The sequence below is a fragment of the Homo sapiens genome, chromosome 20 (genome assembly GCF_000001405.40).
Source record: "Homo sapiens chromosome 20, GRCh38.p14 Primary Assembly".
NCBI lineage: Eukaryota > Metazoa > Chordata > Mammalia > Primates > Hominidae > Homo > Homo sapiens.
The window spans coordinates 2,502,647-2,527,570 of NC_000020.11; the positions used below are offsets into that span (position 1 = coordinate 2,502,647).

The window sequence follows — 24,924 nt, forward strand, 5'->3', positions numbered from 1 at the left end:
GGGCCAATATTCAACATTCTTAAAGAAAAGAATTTTCAACCCAGAATTTCATATCCAGCCAAACTAAGCTTCGTAAGTGAAGGAGAAATAAAATAATTTACAGACAAGCAAATGCTGAGAGATTTGGTCACCACCAGGCCTGCCCTAAAAGACCTCCTGAAGGAAGCACTAAACATGGAAAGGAACAACCGGTACCAGCCACCTCAAAAACATGCCAAATTGTAAAGACCATTGAGGCTAGGAAGAAACTGCATCAACTAACGAGCAAAATAACCAGCTAACATCATAATGACAGGATCAAATTAACACATAACCATATTAACCTTAAATGTAAATGGGCTAAATGCTCCAATTAAAAGACACAGACTGGCAAACTGGATAAAGAGTCAAGACCCATCAGTGTGCTGTATTCAGGAAACCTATCTCACATGTAGTGACATACATAGGCTCAAAATAAATGGATGGAGGAAGATCTACCAAGCAAATGGAAAACAAAAAAAGATAGGTGTTGCAATCCTAGTCTCTGATAAAACAGACTTTAAACCAACAAAGATCAAAAGAGACAAGACCATTACATAATGGTAAATGGATCAATTCAACAAAAAGAGCTAACTATCCTAAATATATATGCACCCAACACAGGAGTACCCAGATTCATAAAGCAAGTCCTTAGAGACCTAGAAAGAGACTTAGACTCCCACACAATAATAATGGGAGACTTTAACACCCCACTATCAATATTAGACAGATCAACAAGACAGAAAGTTAACAAGGATATCCAGGAATTGAACTCAGCTCTGCACCAAGCAGACCTAATAGACATCTACAGAACTCTCTACCCCAAATCAACAGAATATACATTCTTCTCAGCACCACACCGCACTTATTCCAAAATTGACCACATAGTTGGAAGTAAAGCACTCCTCAGCAAATGTAAAAGAACAGAAATTATAACAAACTGTCTCTCAGACCACAGTGCAATCAAACTAGAACTCAGGATTAAGAAACTCACTCAAAACCGCTCAACTACATGGAAACTGAACAACCTGCTCCTGAGTGACTACTGGGTACATAATGAAATGAAGGCAGAAATAAAGATGTTCTTTGAAACCAACGAGAACAAAGACACAACATAACAGAATCTCTGTGACACATTCAAAGCAGTGTGTAGAGGGAAATTTATAGCACTAAATGCCCACAAGAGAAAGCAGGAAAAATCTAAAACTGACACCCTAACATCACAATTAAAAGAACTAGAGAAGCAAGAGCAAACACATTCAAAAGCTAGCAGAAGGCAAGAAATAACTAAGATCAGAGCAGAACTGACGGAAATAGAGACACAAAAAAACCTTCAAAAAAATCAGTGAATCCAGGAGCTGGTTTTTTGAAAAGATCAACAAAATTGATAGACCGCTAGCAAGACTAATAAAGAAGAAAAGAGAGAAGAATCAAATAGACGCAATAAAAAATGATAAAGGGGATATCACCACTGATCCCATAGAAATACAAACTACCGTCAGAGAATACTATAAACACCTCTACGCAAATAAACTAGAAAATCTAGAAGAAATGGATAAATTCCTGGACACATACACCCTCCCAAGACTAAACCAGGAAGAAGTTGAATCTCTGAATAGACTCTGAAATTGAGGCAATAATTAATAGCTTACCAACCAAAAAAAGTCCAAGACCAGATGGATTCACAGCCGAATTCTACCTGAGGTGCAAGGAGGAGCTGGTACCATTCCTTCTGAAACTATTCCAAGCAATAGAAAAAGAAGGAATCCTCCCTAACTCATTTTATGAGGCCAGCATCATCCTGATACCAAAGCCTGGCAGAGACACAACAACAACATAAAATTTTAGACCCAATATCCCTGATGAACATCGATGCAAAAATCCTCAATAAAATATTGGCAAACCAAATCCAGCGGCACATCAAAAAGCTTATCCACCATGATCAAGTGGTCTTCATCCCTGGGATGCAAGGCTGGTTCAACATATGCAAATCAATAAACATAATCCAGCATATAAACAGAACCAACGACAAAAACCATATGATTATCTCAATAGATTCAGAAAAGGCCTTTGACAAAATTCAACAACCCTTCATGCTAAAAACTCTCAATAAATGAGGTATTGATGGGACATATCTCAAAATAATAAGAGCTATCAATGACAAACCCACAGCCAATATCATACTGAATGGGCAAAAACTGGAAGCATTCCCTTTGAAAACTGGCACAAGACAGGGATGCCCTCTCTCACCACTCCTATTCAACATAATTGTTGGAAGTTCTGGACAGGGCAATCAGGCAGGAGAAGGAAATAAAGGGTATTCAGTTAGGAAAAGAGGAAGTCAAATTGTCCCTGTTTGCAGACGACAAGCTTGTATATCTAGAAAAGCCCATTGTCTCAGCCCAAAATCTCCTTAAGCTGATAGGCAACTTCAGCAAAGTCTCAGGATACAAAATCAATGTGCAACAATCACAAGCATTCTTATACACCAATAACAGACAAACAGAGCGCCAAATCATGAGTGAACTCCCATTCACAATTGCTTCAAAGAGAATAAAATACCTAGGAATCCAACTTACAAGGGACGTGAAGGACCTCTTCAAGGAGAACTACAAACCACTGCTCAATGAAAGAGGATACAAACAAATGGAAGAACATTCCATGCTCATGGGTAGGAAGAATCAATATTGTGAAAATGGCCATACTGCCCAAGGTAATTTATAGATTCAGTGCCATCCCCATCAAGCTACCAATGACATTCTTCACTGAATTGGAAAAAACTACTTCAAAGTTCATATGGAACCAAAAAACAGCCCTAAGTCAATCCTAAGCAAAAAGAACAAAGCTGGAGGCATCACGCTACCTGACTTCAAACTATACTACGAGGCTACAGTAACCAAAACAGCATGGTACTGGTACCAAAACAGAGATATAGATCAATGGAACAAAACAGAGCCCTCAGAAATAATGCCGCATATCTACAACCATCTGATCTTTGACAAACCTGACAAAAACAAGAAATGGGGAAAGGATTCCCTATTTAATAAATGGTGCTGGGAAAACTGGCTAGCCATATGTAGAAAGCTGAAACTGGATCCCTTCCTTACACCTTATACAAAAATTAATTCAAGATGGATTAAAGACTTAAATGTTAGACCTAAAACCATAAAAACCCTAGAAGAAAAACTAGACAATACCATTCAGGACATAGGCATGGGCAAGGACTTCATGTCTAAAACACCAAAAGCAATGGCAACAAAAGCCAAAATTGACAAACGGGATCTAATTAAACTAAAGAGCTTTTGCACAGCAAAAGAAACTACCATCAGAGTGAACAGGCAACCTATACAGAATGGGAGAAAATTTTTCCAATCTACTCATCTGACAAAGGGCTAATATCCAGAATCTACAATGAACTCCAACAAATTTACAAGAAAAAAACAAACAACCCCATCAGCAAGTGGGTGAAGGATATGAACAGACACTTCTCAAAAGAAGACATTTATGCAGCCAAAAGACACAGGAAAAAATGCCCATCATCACTGGCCATCAGAGAAATGCAAATCAAAACGACAATGAGATACCATCTCACACCAGTTAGAATGGCGATCATTAAAAAGTCAGGAAACAACAGGTGCTGGAGAGGATGTGGAGAAATAGGAACACTTTTACACTGTTGGTGGGACTGTAAACTAGTTCAACCATTGTAGAAGTCAGTGTGGCGATTCCTCAGGGATCTAGAACTAGAAATACCATTTGACCCAGCCATCCCATTACTGGGTATATACCCAAAGGATTATAAATCATGCTGCTATAAAGACACATGCACACGTATGTTTATTGCGGCACTATTCACAATAGCAAAGACTTGGAACCAACCCAAATGTCCAACAATGATAGACTGGATTAAGAAAATGTGGCACATGTACACCACGGAATACTATGCAGCCATAAAAAATGATGAGTTCATGTCCTTTGTAGGGACATGGATGAAGCTGGAAAATATCATTCTCAGCAAACTATCACAAGGACAAAAAACCAAACACCACATGTTCTCACTCATAGGTGGGAATTGAACAATGAGAACACATGGACACAGGAAGGGGAACATCACACCCCGGGGCCTGTTGTGGGGTGAGGGGAGCGGGGAGGGATAGCATTTGGAGATATACCTAATGTTAAATGATGAGTTACTGGGTGCAGCACACCAACATGGAACATGTATACATACGTAACTAACCTGCACGTTGCGCACATGTACCCTAGAACTTAAAGTATAATAAAAAAAAAAAGATAAAAAAATAAAATGAGTGGGCCAGCCGGGAGCGGTGGCTCATGCCTGTAATCCCAGCACTTTGGGAGGCCCGGGGCAGGCAGATCACCTGAGGTCAGGAGTTCGAGACCAGCCTGACCAACATGGAGAAACCCCGTGTCTACTAAAAATACAAAATTAGCTGGGCATGGTGGCGCACACCTGTAATCCCAGCTACTCGGGATGCTGAGACAGAAGAATCGCTTGAACCCGGGAGGTGGAGGTTGCGGTGAGCCGAGATCGCGCCACTGCACTCCAGCCTGGGCAACAAGAGTGAAACTGTGTCTCAAAAAAAAAAAAAAAAAAAAGAGCAGGCCTCCTTTTCCTTTAACAAAATAAGCCTCAGATCTGTCAGAGAAGAGAATAATGTAAACAGCTTCTAGGGGACAGAACCATGTGGGGACATCAGAATACAGTCTGCCCTGACAAGCTGCTATTACATATTTATCCCTTTAATGCCTATGGGCCTCAAATTATAATACTATTAGTAATAGTTAACACTTACTAAACTCTTACTGTATACCAGAGGCAATTCCAGACACCATGCAAGTTTTACCTCCCCAAAGCTCCATGAGTTCTACACCTTCCTCAAATTGACAATGCTAGAAAGTGCCTAGATTTGAAGTCTAGCTGTGGAGCGCCACACGCTTAGCCAGCTGGGCCAGTAATGATGTCAGCAATGGCCAATCCCTGTGGGGTCTGACAATTCTCAAAGTGTATCCACACATAGGGTTGAGGGGATGTAGATGAAACAAAATTGGCCATGAGTTAACAAATGTGGAATCTGGTGACAGGTCCGTGGCAGTTCACTGAATAGCTCTACTAGGTAGGTTTAAAATTTGTCCCTACGAAAAAATTAAAAATAAAATTAAACGCCTGATATCCAGAACTCACCATATGCCGGAAGTGATTTGGATTGTTAACTAGAAGCCGTCAGAGTTCCCCACCAGACCTAACCCTTCACAGCCCCAAACCAGATGTTTGGCCCTAACATGTGAGGGAAAAGCAGTCCAGGAAAGGAGTCAGCCAGACGGGCCACCCAGATGACGACCAAACCCAGGAACTTTGCCACAAAGCACAGGGGGCACCTCCCACATGACACACCTTGAGACAACAGGTCCCAGAGAAAAGACCTGCCCCCATTCAAAAGAGCTGCCTAGATGCCTGTCAGAGTGATACAGCCCACCACTATCAGAGGACGAAACCTCCCTCACCTCCCTAAAAACCCCAGGGACTCCTGACCCAAGACACTCGCCCAGGCCCTCTCAGGATATTTTGACCACGTCAAGCTCACCTCCACTTCCAACCCCCCAACCCCTAATAAACCAAGGTCCATCAAGCATCAAGGCCTGAGACGGCCTCCCCCTAACCACCCCGGTCACCACTCGGGACATATCCAGCCCCACCCAAAAAACAGAAAAACTCGGTGATGCAGGACTCAAGACGCTCCCCAGCCAAAAACCACCCAGGGATGTGCGGACCTAGCCACGTCCCCACCCCAGCCGCGGGGATGTTGGTCCATTTGGCCCTGGCAGAACTCAACCCCACAGCCCAAATAAACCCCAGGACGCACGACTGGGGCCGCCCTCCGTATTCGAAAACTGGTTGACCCAGAATAATCCCGCCTGGTTCAAGACAGGCATTAGAGTTCTAGGTCACTCTCGTCCCCCCGGGGGGAAAAAAGGTCCGCGGAGGTCCGGGCAAGCAGGGGCTCACCCCATCGCCTCGCCCCAATGAGCACCGCGAGCTGCGCCCTCTCCTCCAAAAACCAAATATCTCCAACCCGCACTCCCCATTGGCCACACTCTACCCCGCGTCCTAACCTACGCTCGGCCTTTCCCGACCCTCCTTTCCCCACGAGAGAGGGCATCCTGGGGCCAAGGAGCCGCGGAGGCCGCGCTCACCAGAGCCAGCGTGCCCGGGATCTCGGCCACCGACCGACGCCAGAACTACAATTCCCAACATCCTCGCAGGCTTCGGCTCCCATTGGCCGCCACAGAGCCACTTCTGGGCCGTGCAACGGTTACTTTTCCAGGACAGTGACCACTGCAGTGACAGCCTCTCCGTCTCTTCTTAAAATACCCATGTTGAAAACAGGTTCTGGCTCCCGAGTGAAGTCTCTGTCCCCTTGGCCCATTCTGCAAAAAAAAGACTACACTCCCCACAAGCCTCTGCGGCAGCTTCCGCAGGCGCTTCCGGAAGCTGGGGTCAACGAGAGAAGTCATTTCCGATTGGCGAATCTAGCGGGAGCAATGCGCTGTCTGTCAGGCGTGTGTTGGGTACAGAGTTTACTGCACCGGACCACCTGAATTCCCTGGGCTGAGGCTCCATAGCACGCGAACTACCTTGCGTGAGCACTATGTAGATTCGACTTCGTGTTGCCTGTGACACACAGGCAGGGCAAAGCCGCCTCCCAGCGTCTCAGTTGAACCCTTACCCTCAACACCAGTGCACTCCTGTGGGTGGCCTGTAGTCACCTTTCTTGTCGAAGTCCTCAAAGTTAGGGACAGACTCTCATCCAGTTTCTGGAGGGTGGAAGCTTCACTCAGGCTGGAGTCTGGCTCTCTGGCCTCTTATCTAAGATCCCGGTTCAGATCTGGGCTACTAGAGCCGGGCGTGGTGGCGCGCGCCTGGGATTCCTGTAACCCCGAGGGAGGCTGAGGCTGAGGCTGGAGGATGGCTTGAGCCCAGGAGTTAAATGTATATATTTTAAAACTAATAATATTTTTAAAACTGGGCTACGCTGGTACCTTCTGCAACACGGCAATTAGGGGTTTGCAGATCAGACCTTCAGCTCATAGGAGGCGCGTTTAAATCTTAATGGCAAATACAAATTGAATTAAATTTTACTTGTTACTGAAGGGGAAATAAACCTGACCTCACGCCCTTGGAGTATTTCCATGAGAAATCTATGTATAAGTGCTCCTTTGATATGTACCTGATACTTTTGAAAGGCTGAATAAGCACCTGCCAACTTTACAAAAGAGGAATGTTTCCCCCAAAGGCCTGATGAGCCATCTCTTTGAAATGTAAACAGTGAAGAAGATAGTGCCCTTATCTCCCTGTCACCTTGGGAGTTTAGCTTAGGTGCCTAGCTCCAAACTCGTAACTGCCCGCTTGTCACAGATAAAAGTTTTATTTTTTCTTTTTGATAAAGGCAATTAACTAGTGTAGATGGCTACTCCAATTACCAGGTGAATTTAGAATGAATTATGAAAAATTGTATAGCAAACAATGTCAAATCCTCTTACAAGGGGGCAAATTACCATTAATTTTGAGGACATGTTTGTAATAGATTGTATCTGCCCAACTAGATAAAAAGTAAGATCTCTTTCTGTCTGGCATCTGATTAGCAGATTGTCTACAATGTGCTTCCCAGTCCAGTTCAATATTATTTGGTAATAAAACTGTTCTCCTTCTTTTCTACGTTTGTGAAGGGGATTTTCTGGGTTAGCAGGAGATTTTGTTTTTATTTTCTCCAACACCTCCTTCCATCTTCTTATTTCTTTTCACCTTCCCAATATCAGCCTTCTGAGGCTTCTCTGTTCTCCAGTACTCAGGAGATAGAGAACATGGCCCCAAGGCCGTTGTGAGCCAGGAGACAGACAAACATTTCTTGATATTCTGTCCTGCCTTTCACAGAAAGGACCAATTCCCTTCTCTTGTCTTGGAGGCTGCCGTGTTAGTACTGGGCAGAATCTGTTACTGAAACACCAGGGGTTGGGTCTAGGTCCTGCTGGTTGCCAGTCAGAAAACCAATCACTGAGACGAGTATTGCAAGGGAAGAAGGCCTTAATTGAGTGCTGCAGCCAAGAAGATGGGAGATCAGTCTCACATCCATCTCCCTGACTGACCAAAATCAGGGGTTTGTATAGCAGGGAAGAAATGTAACTATGTGTGGGAAAACAGAAATTAGGGAGAGGTAAGTTGGAACAGGAAGGAGGTGATTGGTTAGGCAATATGACTGATGAGGAGTGTGGGTTCTCATTGTCCACATGCAATGATTTGGTAAGTTGCAGCTCCTTGATACTATCTGGGAGGCCTGATGTTTGGTTTTCCTGAGAAAGGAACTCAGGACAAATGTGACCTTCTCAAGTTTTAAGACTGGGGGAATCCATTTCTTTTCTTTCCTTTTCCTTTCTTTTTTTTTTTTTGGACAGGGACTTGCTCTGTCATTCAGGCTAGAGTGCGGTGGCATGATCACCGCTCATGTAGCCTCAACCTCCTGGGCTCAAGTGAGTCTTCCACCTCAGCCCCGAGTAGTTGGGACTACAGGCACATGCCACCACACCTGGCAATATTTTTTAATTTTTTGTAGAGATGGGGTTTCACCATGTTGCCCAGGCTGATCTTAAACTCCTAGGCTCAGGTGATTCTCCCACCTCAGCTTCCCAAAGTGCTGGAATTACAGGCATGAGCCACCGCACCTGGCCTGGAAGGACCAATTTCTGTTTATTCAAAGAAACCATAAACATCAATTCTGTGGGACAATTGGGACAGTTTCAAATCCAGCCCTTGATCTGGAGCCCTCCCTCAGCATCCCTCTGTGCTCCATGTGACTGTTATTCATCACGTGAATAAAATCTATGGAACAGTTGAATTAAAAATACAAGGACAGAGGTGACATCAATGGGAAATCTCTGTCCCTTCTGTTTAATTTTGCTATGGACATAAAATTCATCTAAAAATGAAGTCTATTCATAAAAGAGAAAATTAGGAAAATTTTGCAATGTTTTACTTGCCCCTCGCCCTGCTTTCCTCCCTGGCTCTTCAGCAGTCTCAAAGCCTACATTCACAGCATGGGATGCAATTATGACAGACCCACAGCTAACATCATACTCAATGGTGAAAACTGAAAACTCTTCCCCTAAGGTCAGTGACAAGACAAGGATGCTTACTTTTGCCACTTCTATTCAACATTGTACTGGAAGGTCTATTTATAGCAATTAGACAAGAAAAAGAAAAGCCATCCAAATGGGAAAGGAAGAAGTAAAACTATCTCTATTCACAGATGATGTGATCTTGTATATAGTAAACACTACATTTCTATAACTAACAAACGATTTGAAAATAAGAAAATAGTTCCATTTGCAATAGCATCAAAAAGAATAACATATTTAGGAATAACTTTAACCAGGAAGGCACAAGATTTGTACACTGAAAATTACAAATCATTGCTGAAAGAAATTGTGTAAGCTCCAAATAAATGAAATTACATACTCCGTTCATGGGTTGGAAGGCTTAATATTGTTAAAATGGCATTATTCCTCAAAGCAATCTACAGATGCAATGCTATCCTTGTCAAAATTCCAATGGCCTTTTTGCAGAAATGGAAAAGTTGATCCTAAAGTTCGTATGGAATTTTAAGGGACCCAGAGTAGCCAAAACAATTTTGAAAAAGAATAAGGTTGGAGGACTCACTCTTCTTAATTTTAAAACTTAATACAAAGCTTCAGTAATTAAAACAGTGTGGTACTGCCATAAGGGTAGACATAGACCAATGGATAGGATTGAAAGTCCAGAAATGAAACTGTAGAGAAATGGTCAATTGCTTTTCAACAAGGATGCCGAGACCATTTAATGGGGAAAGAATAGCCTTTTCAATAAATCATGCTGGAACAACTGGATAACCACAAGTAAAAGAATGAAGTTGGACCTCTACCTCCCACTGTATACAAAAATTAACTCAAAGACTATAAAGATCTAAATATAAAAGCTAAAACTCTTAGAAGAAAGCATAAGGGTTAATTTTCATTACCTTGCATCTGAAAAATTGTTTCTTAGATGTGACACCAAAAGCAGAAGCAACAAATGGAAAAATAAATTGGGCCAGTCGCAGTGGCTCACCCCTGTAATCCCAGCACTTTGGGAGGCCAAGGCAGGAGGATCATTTGAGCTCAGGAGGTCAAGACCAGACTAGGCAACATAGACCATTTCTCTACCAAAAAAAAAAAAAAAAAAAATCCCCTCAAAAATAGCTGGGTGTGGTGGCAGGCATCTGTAGTCCCAGCTACTTGGGAGGCTGAGCTGGGAGGATAGCTTGAGCCTGGGAGTTCCAAGCTGCAGTGAGCCATGATTGTACCACTGCACTCCAGCCTGGATGACAGAGTGAGACCCTGTCTCAAAAAAGAAATTGGAATTTATCAAAATTTAAAACTTTGTGCGCCAAAGGACACTACTGGAAGAGTGACAAGGCAACCCATAAGAATGAGAGAAAATATTTGCAAATCATATATCTGATAATGGTCTAATGTCCAGAATATATTAAGATTTCTATGACTCAATAACAAAAAGACTAACAACCCAATTTTAAAATGAGCAAAGGACTCAAATAAACATTTTGAAGAAATAACTGCATACAAAACAGCCAGCAAGAACACACCAAAAAAATGCTTACTGTCACTAATAATTAGAGAAACACAAACTAAAACCATAATAAAATACCACTTCACACCCACTAGAATGGCTATGATAAAAATACTTTTTTAATGGAAAATAACAACTGTTGGCAAAGTTGTGGAGAAATTAGAACCCTTATACTGTACATTGCTGGTAAGAATGTAAAGTGTTCTATCTGTTGGGGAAATCCGTTTGGTGGTTCCTTAATAAGTTAAACATAGAATTAGCATTTGACCCAGCATTTCTACTCCAAGCTATATGCCCCAAAGAATTGAAAACAGGTGTTCAAACAAAAACTTTTATAGAATGTTTACATCAGCACTATTCAGAATAGCTGAAAGGTGGAAACAATCCGAATGTTCATCAGTTGGTGAACAGATAAGCAAAATATGATAAATCCATACAATCAAATAGTATTCAGCCATAAAAGTATTGATATATGGTATAACATGGATGAACCTTGAAAACATTATGCTAAGTGAAAGAAACCAGACACAAAAGACCATACACTGTATCATTCCACTTAAATGAATTTATATGTCCGGAATAGGCAGATCCATGGAGACAGAAAGTAGATTAGTAGCAGGGTCTAGTGGAAAGGTGAAATGCAAAATGACCACTTAATGGGCACAGGATTCCCTTTTGGGGCGATGAAAATATTCTGGAATTGCCATAACGGGATGTCTTAATTGGAGAATCACATAAAAGGAAAAAGAAGTTTTAAAATGAGAAAATAAATAGAAAAAGAACAACAAAAAATGAAAACGTTCTGGAATTAGATAATGGTGATGGTTGGGCAATATTGTGAATGTACTGAATGACTCTGTGTAACTTAAAATGGTTAAAATGCTTAAATGTGAAATTTCTTCTATTAGAATGAATTGAGATAAATATCACCTTTATATGAGCTAAAAGCCAAAGAACACACATTTGCCTCAACTGCACTTTTCTTCTGTAAGTAAGACCAAATTAAATGTAGCTAGGGAGCATTTATGAAAATGAGCTTGAATCGCCTGTGTTCTCAAAAGAATCTTCAAAAGGATTCAAAAGTACTTAAGATGCTCAAAACTTCAAAGATCTTAGAATTTCTCTTATTGGGAGTTATAAGCAATTATAGTGAATCAAAGCAGTATTTGTGTAAATGAGCCCATAGCCATACATGTTCTCAAAGAACCTTCTCGTTGCTAGTCAAATCAAAGTAAGATGAATCCAGTCAGTATTTGTAAAAATAAGCAGTCTAATTTAAAGCTCAATATTATATATATCTTTTAAAAAATTTTTGTAAGACTAATACTGTGTGTTTAATGAATTAGAAGCCAAAGCAGGCCAGGCATGGTGGCTCACGTCTGTAGTTCCAGCACTTTGGGAGGCCAAGGCAGGCAGATCACTTGAAGCCAGGAGTTGAAGACCAGCCTGGCTAATATGGCGAAACCCCATCTCTACTAAGAATATTAATACAAAAATTTAGCCAAATTTGGTGGCATGCACCCATAGTCCCAGCTACTCAAGAGGCTGAGGCACGAGAATTGCTTGAACTCAGGAGGCGGAGGTTGCAGTGAGCCAAGTGAGCTGAGATTGCACCACTGCACTGCACTCCAGCCTGGGTGACAGAGCGAGACATTGTATCAAAAAAAAAAAAGAAGAAGAAGAAGAAAGAAGAAGGAAGGAAGGAGAAGAAGGAAGGAAGGAGAAGGAAGAAGAAGAAAGAGAAGAAGAAGCCAAATCAGAAAAAGAAAGGAAAAAAAGACTAATACTGCAGTGTTAGTAAACACAAGTTCAGACATTTTACTAGATTTACTGCTGATTAGAATACATTGATATTAATGTAAACTTTAAACAAACCAGGTGATAAAGACACCTTCGTCTTATTATTTGTCAGAGCTATTTATGATATTTGTGAAAATGAGTTCTGAATCCCATATTGGTTTTTTTCTTTTTTAGCCTCAATATATTACCACATTAAGAATCCCATATTGTTCTTAATAAATTTACAAATGTAGTCAGAAGCATTCAAAATATGTATTGTTATATGGAGGAATTACAATGACTCAGCAGGATTTGTGAAATCAGCTCAGAATTGTTCTCCAAAGAATCTTAAAAAATATTCCAAAAAATATTCCAAAAGCATTCAAAAGTACTCCAACTCTAACTTCTTTTTTGAACTACTACTGCTAAATAGATAACTAGTGATAACTTGAGACACATGTATGTCCTGGAGCTTCTCTTTTACATACTGTAGTTATTCTAATTATGTCTAGTTACCTAGTTAGTATGGGTTATCTTGTTATCTCTACTTGTCAGTAGTTCTTACTAGTTATATGAACAAGAAATAAGCTGTAGTTAACAGAAATGTATGGTTGAGGGTCTTTGCTTAACCCTTACCCTTGACTTTGATCTTGGGCATGAACTTCAACCTTAGACTTCGAGGTTCAACATGAGAGTGAGAGACAGGCTCAGGTGATGGTACCAGAGTGAGCGTCACACAGTCAGGGCGATGATCCGTATCTGCATCATCAGGAGGATTGGAGTAAGGATGAGTGTCAGGGTCAGCGGCTGTGAAAGGAGGAGGGGAGTCAGACTCAGAGTGAGATTGAGGGTCAAGGTCAGAGTCAGAAAGGGGTGAATGTGAGGGTGAATGTCAGGGCCAGATTGAAAGTGAGAGTGATGGTCAGATTGAGGTGATGAAGTGAGAATGGGGGCTAGGGTGAGGGTGAGGTTGAGAATTAGGGTGATGATCAAGGTTGGGGTTTGGGAGAGAGCAGGCTGAGTGTTTGGTTCAGGTCGGAATCAAGGTGAGGATGAGAGTCGGGGTCACAGAGATGTTAAGGATGTGATTTAGAAGCCAAATGTCCTGGTGCATGCCTGTAATCCCAACTACTCAGGAGGCTGAGGATTGCTTGAGTCCAACAATTAGAGGCCAGCCTGGGCAATGGAGCGAGACCCTGTCTTCAAAAAGGGAGGGGATTGTGATTTAGGGTAAAGGTGGGGCCAGAGTGATGCTGTGAGGGTCAGAGTCACTGTTAATGTCAGGCTGAGGGTGAGGGTTAGTGTTTGATTTAGGATCAGAGTAGGTCCCAGTGAGGATTAAAGTCAGAGTGAGAGCAAGTGCACAGTGAGTGTGAGCGTGGGCATGAGAGTGAGATCAAGGTCAGTGTCAAAGTAAGAGTCCATCTGAGGAATAAACTCAGAGTGAGGATGAGTGAGCAGGGTAGGGTCAGGACAACAGTGATGATGAGGGTCTGGTTTAGCGTCAAGGGCAAGTGTCAAGATGAAACTGAGGGTCAGGGTGAAGGTGAGAGTGAGGGAGAGTGAGGTCTAGCTGAGGATGAAAGGGAGATTGAGAAAGAGAGAGTCAAGTGCAATTCAGGTCCAGTGTATGAGGCTTAGGTCAGGTTTAAGGCAAGGGTTGGGATAAGGGTTATGATCACATTGAGGGTCAGGTTGAGGATAAAGGTCAGGCTCAAGGCCAGAAAGTGTTAGGGTAAAGGTGGGCGTGAGGTTCAGGGTCAAGGAGAAGATGAGAGTGAGTTGACATTGAGGATGTCCTTCATGATTAGTGTCACTGTCACGGTCATTACTTTTTGTGACTTACAACAAATCTGGATGAACCTAGTCAATTTAAGTCAGAATCATACATTCATATCTAAGGTAACTCACTATGGTGAATTCAATCAGATGTATATGAAAGTAAGCAGAATACTTGAAAACAGCAAACCATGCTTCCAACTAAGGTTCAAGTCCAGGTTTGGGAATATTTCAAATGATATGTTTCATTGTGCATTAGAGCATATTTAAATGAAACCAAGCTGTTTATGTCAAACGAGCTCAGAATCTATCATTCTTCCTGAATGAGACTGAGTGCTCCAGAGAAATAGAAGCAACAGAATTTGTATGTGTTTATGTATTTGTATATGTATATGTATACACACACACAGGTATATATACAAATATACACACACATATATACACATTCAGCCAATGTATATGTGTGTATATATATATACACACATATATAGCTGATGTATATGTATATATATACACACATATACATATACCAGGAGAGCCGATGGTGCAGTTCCAGTCCAAAGGGGCAGCCTGCTGAAGAATTCCCTCTGGTCTTTTTTTTTTTTCTTTTTTGAGATAGGGTCTTACTCTGCACTCTGTCACCCAGGCTAGAGTGCAGTGGCATCATCATGGCTCACTGCAGCCTCGACCTCCTGGGCTCAAGCAGTCCTCCCACCTCAGCCTTCCAAGTAACTGGGACTACAGGCACACACCACCATGCCTGGCTAGTTATTAATTTTTTTTTTTTGTAGAGATGGGGTCCCCCTCTGTCACCCAGGCTGGTCTTGAACTCCTGGCCTCAAGTGATCCTCTCACCTCAGCCTCCCAAAGTGCTGGGATTAAAGGAGTGAGCCGTTGCCCTTGGCCTCAATTTGTTATTGCTTATTAGAATAAATTGACATGAAAGTAAGCTTTAATAATAATAATAATAAAAGATGAGAAACACACCGTCATCAAAACTGTACTTAGAGCTAAGACAAATGGAAACATTATATGTGAAAGACATCTCAAAATCACATATTGTCCTTAATAAAATTTTAAAAGTACTCAAAGGTTTATTTTTTTTTCCTTTTTTCTCTCTTTTTTTTTTTCGAGACAGAGTCTCACTCTGTTACCCAGGCTGGAGTGCAGTGGCTCGATCTCGGCTCACTGTAACCTCTGCCTCCCAGGCTCAAGTGATTCCCCTTCCTCAGCTTTCTGAGTAGCTGGGATTACAGGCGCGTGCCACCACGTCTGGCTACCTTTTTGTATTTTTTTAGTAGAGACGTAGTTTCGCCATGTTGACCAGGCTTGTCTTGAACTCCTGAACTCAGACAGTTTGCCGACCTTGGCCTCCCAGAGTGTTAGAATTACAGGCGTGAGCCACCGCGCCCAGCCTCAAAGATTTATTTCTATTTGGGAGAATTATAATGAATCAAAAGCAGTATTCGTGTAAATGAGCTCATTGTCACATTGCTCTTAAAAGATCCTTCTTATTGCCAGTTAGAGCAAATTAAGTAGAATCTAGAATTCTGAAGCCAACATAGAATCACTAACTGTTGTCAAATAATCTTTTGTACTCCAAAGTACTCCAAAATACACAATAGTACTCACAAGTGCCAGACTCTAACTTCTGATTTCTAAATAGCTACCCCTCCGGTTCCACACTCACTCACAACCTACAACCCTCCCTTACAGACACTACCTTCCAACATACCACATGCTCTCAGCCCCGTGTCCACTTCCCTACACCACTTGCTTCACATCCACTCAATACCTATGCTCTGACAATCACCCACACACCACCTACCTCTCCCCTGTAAACCATTCAGTGCCTACCCTTGCAGCCCACACCCACTGATAATGGTTTGGCTCTGTGTTCCTACCCAAATCTCATCTCGAATTGTAATCCCCACATGTCAGGGGAGGGACCTGGTGGAAGGCGATTGGCTCATGGGGGTGGTTTCATCCATGCTGTCCTCATGATAGTGAGTTCTCACAAGATCTGATGGTTTAAAAGTGTTTGGCAGTTCCCTGCCCCCCTCTCTCTTTCCTGCCATCGTGTAAGACATGCCTTGCTTCCCCTTCACCTTCCACCATGATTGTAAGTTTCCTGAGGCCTACCCAGCCATGTGCAACTGTGAGTCAATTAAACCTCTTTCCTTTTTAAATTACCCAGTCTTGGGTAGTTCTTTATAGTAGTGTGAAAATGGACTAATCCACCCATTCACTACTTTCTGACCCATACTCATTCTCTACTTACTCCCTCAAATACCCCGTGACCTACCCCACATTACATACCAACTCACTACCCACACCCTGCCACAGACTCCTTTACTACGCTCTCATAATGATTCTGACACTGACACCCTAATCCTGACTGTGACACTGACTCTCCCTCTGACCCTGTACCTCCAGCTCACTCTCACACTCACTCTGGTCCTAACCATGAACCTGACCTTCACACTCACACTGACTCTGGACTTCGCCTTCAGATTTGCCTCACCTCACTGAATAGAACAAAAAGACCAGCCTCCTTGAACAAGAGGAAATTCTTCAGCAGACTGCCTTTAGACTGGAACTGCACCATTGGCTCCCCTGGGGCTCCAGCCTGCCAGCCTCCATAATTGTGTGAAGCAATTCCTTATACTAAATCTCCATATGTGTGTGTGCATGTGTGTGTATACGCATATACATACACATTCTATTGGTTCTGTTTCTCTGGAGAACCCTGACTCATTCAGGAAAAATGATAGATTCTGAACTCATTTGACATAAACAGCTTGGTTTCATCTAAATATGCTCTAACACACAATGGACATTTCATTTGAGATGTTCCTGAACCTGGACCTGAACCTTAGTTGAAAGTGTGATTTCCTGCCTGTTTTCAACTGTTCTGTTTAGTTTCACATATATTTAATTGAATTCACCATAGGGAGATGACTCTGATTTAAATTGCCTAGGTTCATCCTAATTTGTTGTAAGTCACAAAAAAATAAGGAAATTTAGAGAACAAGGTGTGATTGTAAGATTATTTTCTCTAATACTGCTTAGATTCATGTAATTTGGCTCTAAGTTATTTTTATCTGCTCTATCTGACCATTTCACACTTATTAAGAGGGGAGAGTCTGTTTCTTAGCTTGTTTACTGCTTGGTTGTACATAGTTTAATCTATATTTCTACTAATTCAACATAATAGAGTACTTTGGAGGATAATGACTGCTTCTGAGCTAAGTTTCACTAATACTGCTTAGATTCACCTTAATTTAATGCACTTTAAGATTCTATGTTTGTATTCTACATGCACTTTATGAGCTAGTTTGTATATACTATGAAGTTTATATATCATTTATTAAATGTATAAATTTCATTTATAATGGATGAGTGATTTTGAACTTGACTTCCTTTATATCACCTAATTTATGTGCTACTAGCCAGGCGTGGTACCTCACATCTATAATCCCAGCACTTTAGGAGGCCAAGGTGGGAGGATCTCTTGAGCCCAGAGGTTAGAGATCAGCCTGGACAACATGGCAAGACCCCGTCTCTATTAAAAAGAAATAATTTTTTAAATTAAAATATGTGCTACCTATGCCTAGCTACATTTTAATTATTCCTAAGAGCCTACAATCGCTTTTCAGAACAATGTCTGATTCTGAGCTTGTTCATTAATATACTGCTTATTTTATTTTATTTTATTTTACTAGATATGCTCTAACTCATCTTAAAGAGGAGAATCAGTGGGAAATGGGTCTGGGAAGATCATTGGTCAGCTCTGGTCCCAGAAACTTGGGCAGGCACCCCCTGTAAAGCACTTGTGAACATGGGGACTCGTCTTCTACGCCGAAAAGTGGTGACTCACACCATAGGCAAGTGGCAGATATTCAGCCTCTGGAAGAGAATATTGGGGACAGTTGCTGGCAGCACAGGTTGGCACTTGGACTCTGAAACAAAAAATGGGGACTTCACTTCTGGAGGGAGAGGTGGGGACACAGCCCCAGGGCAAGGGGAGGGGACTTAGCTTCTTGGGGGAGATGCAGGGAGGAAGCTTCTGGAGTGGGAAGTCTTTAATGAGTGGCATGGATTTAGTCTGTAGAACTGAAACCAAAACTCATCTTTTAGAAGGGATAAGTGTAGACTTAGCCTTTGGGACAAGTGGTGAGGACATAGCATCTGGAAGGAGAAGCAAGAATGTAGCCTCTGCTGAGGGAAATGAACGTGTAATCTCTGGGGCAAAAGATAGGTACTTAACCTCTGGCGTTGAAATCCAGACCCAGCCTCTGGAAGAAGAGTGGACTTACCCCCTGGGCAGATGGTGGAAACCTTGCTTATGGTACAAGCATTGGGAACTTAGCCACTGGAGTCATAATCAGGGCAGGCATAGACTCTGGGGCAGAAAGTGGAAACTTCACCTCTGGGGTGAACAGTGGGGGCTTCTTCTCTGGAGTCAGATGGGGACTCAGCATTGGGAAGAATACGGTGGACTTTTTATATTCTGGAGACAGAAGTAGCCTTTAGGGAGAGAGGTAGAGATAGCCTGTGGAGCCCAAATCCAGATGTAGCCTCTGGAGGGAGAAGTAGGGCCCTCACCTGATGGGAGACCTCTGGGGACTCAGCTTCCAGCTCTAGAAGCAGAGACCTAGACTCAGGTGTGGGTAGTGGGATGTAGTCTCTGAGGCAAGAGATGACTTCTGCAGTCAGAATTGGGGCTCAGCCTCCGGAGAGGGAAGTGTGGACCTAGCCAGTGGGTATATGGTGGAAACTTAGCCTTTGGATGGAGAAGTAGGATCTTAGTCTCTAGCTTCTGTGTGGGGAGTGGGGATTTAGCTTCTGAAATGGAAGATGGGGTCTTAGCCTCTGAAGCTGAAAATCTGGACTCAGCTTCTGGAGGGAAAAGCTGGGACATAGACGTGGGTGGTCGCGGTCAAAATCAATTTCTCAAAAGCGGCCTTTATGCCAGGCCGGAGGGGCTCCCCCTAGCGAGTGAGGGAAGCAGGACACTTTGAAACGAATGCGTTTCTCAGCTTCTTTGCACATGTAAAGTTACAAAGCACTTAAGAAGCATGTAAGGTTTGTTTAAAATGAATAAGTTATTTTGAGCTTGATTTAACATAAACTCTTAGATATACTCTAAGTTACTCTAAGAAGGTCCTTTTGAGAATGCTTGAGTCTACACTTGTTTTAATATCAACTGTTACATATGAATTATCTCTAAGGAGCAATAAAAGTGTGGTGTAAAATGAATGAGTAATTTTGAGCTTGATTTCACCTAAAATGCTTAGTACTGACTACATGGAGTCTAATTCCACATAACAAGTTAGGTTAAGGACATATTCCTTAATACTGCTTAGATTTATCTAAATTGGTTCTAACTCATTTTATTTAGTTTCTCACCATTAGAAGTTTCCTTAGAGGGGAATGTCTGATTCTTAGCTTGTTTGCAAACACTCTACTTGTTTGTAAACATACATTTTTATTTCAACATAATAAGGTACTTTGGAGTTACCTTAGACGTGACGCAACCTGTTTTTATTTAACCTACTTCATTTGCTCAAACTTACAAAAAGATTACTTAGTTGGAGATAAGTCTTTCTGAGCCAGTTTGTTCGTCTGTCTTTCTGAGCTAACGTACTGTGTAGTTCACAATAAGTCAATCTGGCTCAGTTTCAATTTTAACATAAGCTGCTTAATTACATTTATATTTACTCCGACTCATAATAAGAAGTTACTTTTAAGATCAAAGTGTGAGGTCAGGCATGGTGGCTCACGCCTGTAATCCCAATACTTTGGGAGGCCAAGGCAGGTGGATAGCTTGAGCTCAGGAGCTCGAGACCAGCCTGGGCAACATGGCAAAACCCTGTCTCTACAAAAGACACAAAAAAATTAGCCAGGTGTAGTAGCTTGTGCCTGTAGACCCAGCTACTTGGGAGGCTGAGGTGGGAGGATCGCTTGAGCCTGGGAGGCAGAGGTTGTGGCAGCGGCATTTGATCCAGAGCAACTCCATCTTGAATAGGGGCTGGGTAAAATAAGGCTGAGATCTACTAGGCTGCATTCCCAGGAGGTTAGGCATTTTAAGTCATAGGATGAGATTGGAGGTCAGCACAAGATACAGGTCACAAAGACCTTGCTGATAAAACAGGATGTGGTAAAGAAGCTGGCCAAAACCAAAATGGTGATGAAAATGAACTCTGGTTGTCCTCACTGCTCATGATACACTAATTATAATTCATTAGCATGCTAAAAGATGCTCCCACCAGCACCATGACAGTTTACAGATGCCATGGCAATGTCAGGAAGTTACCCTATATGGTCTAAAAAGGGGAGGAACCCTCGGTTCCGAGAATTGCCCACCCCTTTTCCAGAAAACTCATCAATAATCCACACCTTGTTTAGCATACAATCAAGAAATAACTATAAGTATAGTCAGTCCGGCAGCCCATGCCACTGCTATGCCTATGGAGTGGCCACTCTTTTATTCCTTTTTTTTTTAAATAAACTTACCTTCACTTTATGGACTCGCAGGGAATTCTTTCCTTTTTTTTTCTTTTTTTTACATTCAGAATTTTTATTTTAAAACAAAGAATCAGAGTAACATTTATAATAGAAAATCCATATGGAAATATTCACAATCTTCTCAGTGAGAAATGGGAAAACAACTTCCCTGCCTTACTGCCATCCTACTGTTTGAGGAGCCAGAAGTTGACTTGAAGTTGCAAGGTCACCTTTTCCAGCTAAACCCCACTCCATAGCTATGTGTACTTTTTTTTTTTTTTTTTTTTTGAGACGGAATCTCGCACTCTGGCCTGGGCTAGGATGCAATGGTGCGATCTTGGCTCACTGCAACCTCTGCGTCCTGGATTCACGTGATTCTCCTGCCTCAGCCTCCCCAGTAGCTGGGATTACAGGGGCCCACCACCACGCCTGGCTAAGAATTCTTTCTTTCTTACACACGATCCAAGAATCCTCTCTTGGAGTCTGGATGGGACACCTTTCTGGTAACAGTTGCAGTGAGCTGAGATCGTGCCACTGCACTCCAGCCTGGGTGACAGAGACCCCGTCTCAAAAAAAAAAAAAAAAAAATCGAAGTGTGATTCTGAGCCTCTTTGAAAATACTGCTTAGGATAGCTGGTGTGGCCCACTCCCATAATCCCATCACTTTGGGAGGCCTAGGCAGGAGGATCCCTTGAGCCCAGGAGTTCAAGACCAGACTGGGCAACATAGTAAGACCCTGTCTCTCTACAAAATAAAATTAGCTGGGCATGGTAGCACACACCTGTGCTCCTAGCTACTTGGGAGGCTTAGGATCTGCTTGAGCTGGGGAGGTCGAGGCTGCAGTGAGGCATGATCATACCACTGCACTCCAGCCTGGGGGACAAAGGGAGACCCTGCCTCAGAGAGAGACAGATAAATTATACTGCTTAAATTCATCTCAAGTCGCTCTAACTCACAACAAATGCTTACCCTGGCAGAGAACGTGTGATTTTGAGGTTGCTTTCACACATACCTGCTAGTGTCCACTAGGTCTCCACTTCTTACCGTGAGGCTGGGTTTCGCGTTCTGGTTCCAGGCTGTCCCCCCACTGCCTGCCCCTGCCCCGAATCGCAGGTTTTGCCGCAATGGCAAGTCCCAACTTGGCCAACAGGGGGCGCCCGCCCGAACCGCCAGGACCGAGACTCGCGAGCTTCCGGGCCCAGTTCCTCAGATTCAGCGCGGGGGAGAGCTGCGGGCCCCGCCGGGGGAGCCCAGGGGGCCTTCGCAGAGGATCTGGAGGCCTTTCAGAAAGGAAGCCAGGTGCAGGGACGACCCGAAGCCCGGACCCCAGCCCCGGCGCTGCAACAGGCCCGCCCTCCCTGCCTTGGCCCTTCCCTCTTACTATTTTTATTTTGAGCGAGAGTCTCGCTGTGTCACCCAGGCTGGTCTCGAACTCCCCCTCCCAAAGTGCTGGGATCACAGGCGTGAGCCACCGCGCCCGCTGGCTCCCGATCTTCCGCGGGGCCCAGACGCCAAGGTCCCGGCTCTCCATTCGAAAGCGGAGTCCCCCTCTCCGGAGTCGAATGGAATCCCCGCTTCCCGGCTTCCCGCTCCTGAGGCTTAGTCCCCGCCTCTCCCCGAGGGGCTCAGCCCCGCTGTTTCCTCCAGAGGCGGATCCCGCAGTTTTCCCCCCAGAAAAGGAATTCAGCATTTTTTATCCTAGGTCTAACCCGGCCTTCCGCTCCAAGACTAAGTGATGGTCTACGCCGCCGGCGGCCGAATCCCCACCCGCCCTACCAGAGGCTAAGCCCCCACCTCGCGCTTAAGGGAACGAGTCCCGATCTGTCGCCGTAGTGCCGCCCCAGGCTGCCGGCCGCCGAGTCCCCGTTCCCTCCGCACCCGCCACCCCGCGTAGGCTGACTCCCCGCTTGCCGCCCCAAACCGAAGTCCCAATTTTTAGCTTCAGTGGCCTCAGAGACCTGACTTTTCCAAGCTTCCATAGGAAGGTGAGGATGGAGAGCATCTGGCATCCGGAGCCCCTGTCCCTCGGCACAGCCCCGAGGCCTCCGGGGGGTCGGGGGAAAGGGTTCGGGGACCGCAGGGGCGATGAAGCCCCAAACCCTGAGCCATTCTCCGTGCTTCTGGCCTTAGAGGGACTTGCGCACACATGGCTGAGAATATTAACCAGAAAGGTGTTACTGATACCAGAAAGGGGTCCCGATCCAGACCCCAAGAGAGAGTTCTTGGACCTTGGGCAAAAATTCCAGGCGATTCCATAGAGTAAAGTGAAAGCAAGTTTATTAAGAAAGCAAAGGAATAAAGAAGGGCTACTCCATAGGCAGAGCACCAGCGTGGGCTGCTCAACTGATTGTAGTTACTTCCTGACTATATGCCAAACAAGGGGTGGATTATTCAGGAGTTTTCCAGGAAAGGGGTGGGCAGTTCCTGGAACTGAAGGTTCTTCCCCCTCTTTTAGACCATATAGGGTAACTTCTGGACATTACCATGGCATTTGTAAACTGTCATGGTGCAAAAAAAAAAAAAAAAAAAAAAAAAAAAAAAGACACTTTTATCATGCTAAAATATTATAATTAGCATATAATGAGCAGTGAGGACGATCAGAGGTCACTTTCCTGGCCATCTTGGTTGTGGTGGTTTTGGGCAGGCTTCTTTATGGCATGCTGTTTTATCAGCAAGGTGTTTGGTCTTTTTGTTTGTTCATTCTTTTTTTTTTTTTTCTTTTTTTTTTTTTTTTGAGACGGAGCTGTCACCCAGGCTGGAGTGCAGTGGCATGATCTTGGCTCACTGCAACCTCCGCCTCTCGGGTTCAAGCGATTCTCATGCCTCAGCCTCCCAAGTAGGTGGGACTATAGGCGCGTACCTCCACACCTGGTTAATTTTTGATTTTTAGTAGAGACAGGGTTTCACCATGTTGGCCAGACTGGTCTCGAACTCCTGACCTCAGGTGATCCACCCACTTCGGCCTCCCAAAGTGCTGACATTACAGGTGTGAGCCACCACTCTGGGCTAGTACCTTGTGCCTACCTCCTGTCTCATCCTGTGATTTAGAATGCCTAACCTCCTGGAAATAAAACCCAGTAGGTTTCAGCCTTATTTTACCCAGCCCCTATTCAACCAGTTGCTCTGGTTCAAATGCCTCTGACATTACCAAAAAGGAAAATGTAAGCTGTAATCACAGTCAGCACCAAATTCAAAAAACTTAATGAAACAGTCACCTGTGAAAACCAGAGACAGATGTGTGAATATACTAAAAAACACAGAATTGTTCACTTTAAAAGGGTAAATTTTGTAGTATGGTCATTATACCTCCATGAAGCTGTTCTTAAACAAAAAAGACTAGTTAGACCTCAGGTTTTCCCACTTCAGCAGATTCAAAGTTGGCTCTTTAAGATGCTGGCATGGTGGAAAGCACTGGGCTGAGGGGTCTTAGACACAGCCAAGGGCAAGATGAGAACCCATATGAAAACAAGAGAACCGGGTGAAAATTCGCCTCCTGATGAGCGGCACTCCGAGCCACCTTCTCTTCCTCAGCTCCCACACTGGCAGCCAAGGTGTGTTCTCTGGGAAAATGGGAAGATTTTTCTCTGGGAATTCTGCCCTGCCCAGAAGAAAAGGCCCATAAACACTGGGAGTGGGAATCTCTTATCCCTGCCTCATCACCCTACAGCAGTGGGTCTCAAACTTGAGGGACACCCCCCACCCCTGCCGCACCTTCTCCTGGTACATTTAACAGTGCCTGGAGATGCTGTGGGTTATCTCACCTGGCAGCAAGTGGGTGTTACAGGTATCTATCACACAGAGGCCAAGGATGCTGCTGAACATCTTACAACTCAAAAGACAGCTCTCACACAACGAAGAAATAACTGGTCCAAAATATCACTAATGCTGAGATTGAGAAACACTGTCCTGAAGTGAGGCCCACCCATCAGCAAGGCCTGCCCACATGCAGAATGCTTCCACATAGCTTTTCAGCATCTCACAATGAAATATGAGCAGATACCCAAGTGCCCCCAAACAATAAGACAAAGATTAGAAGAGTGATGACTTAAAAGAGTTTGCCCAAGTGACAGGGAGACCAATGTTGTCCCTGACACATGCATCTCAAAGTTGAAGTCTCCCTGCATCCATTCCCACTCCCTTTGCCAAGGTCAAAGCTCACT

The 24,924-nt window shown here is 43.5% G+C and overlaps 1 protein-coding gene across 18 annotated transcripts in view, besides 4 other annotated features; it reads right to left on the bottom strand.

The window, feature by feature from the left end:
* Positions 1-22,353, bottom strand: part of ZNF343 (zinc finger protein 343) — a 43,183-nt gene extending 20,830 nt beyond the window's left edge. For 10 of the 18 annotated variants that reach the window (NM_001282498.2, NM_001282496.2, NM_001321805.2 and 7 more), the window contains exon 1: positions 6,235-6,269. The gene's annotated coding sequence lies outside the window, so the exon portion shown is untranslated. 18 annotated transcript variants of the gene reach the window in all.
* Positions 5,534-5,593: an enhancer, noted in NCBI's record as "active region_17468". NCBI's record gives its function as "activates an Ori minimal core promoter by ATAC-STARR-seq in GM12878 lymphoblastoid cells {active_cell/tissue: GM12878}" and the evidence as "EXISTENCE:reporter gene assay evidence [ECO:0000049][PMID:35858748]".
* Positions 6,244-6,553: an enhancer, noted in NCBI's record as "active region_17469". NCBI's record gives its function as "activates an Ori minimal core promoter by ATAC-STARR-seq in GM12878 lymphoblastoid cells {active_cell/tissue: GM12878}" and the evidence as "EXISTENCE:reporter gene assay evidence [ECO:0000049][PMID:35858748]".
* Positions 7,095-7,690: an enhancer, noted in NCBI's record as "OCT4-NANOG-H3K27ac hESC enhancer chr20:2490387-2490982 (GRCh37/hg19 assembly coordinates)". NCBI's record gives its function as "activates a minimal SCP1, AML or CMV promoter by ChIP-STARR-seq in primed H9 embryonic stem cells {active_cell/tissue: H9 hESC(primed)}" and the evidence as "EXISTENCE:reporter gene assay evidence [ECO:0000049][PMID:30033119]".
* Positions 21,999-22,168: a silencer, noted in NCBI's record as "silent region_12603". NCBI's record gives its function as "represses an Ori minimal core promoter by ATAC-STARR-seq in GM12878 lymphoblastoid cells {active_cell/tissue: GM12878}" and the evidence as "EXISTENCE:reporter gene assay evidence [ECO:0000049][PMID:35858748]".
* Positions 22,354-24,924: the final 2,571 nt, after the last annotated feature.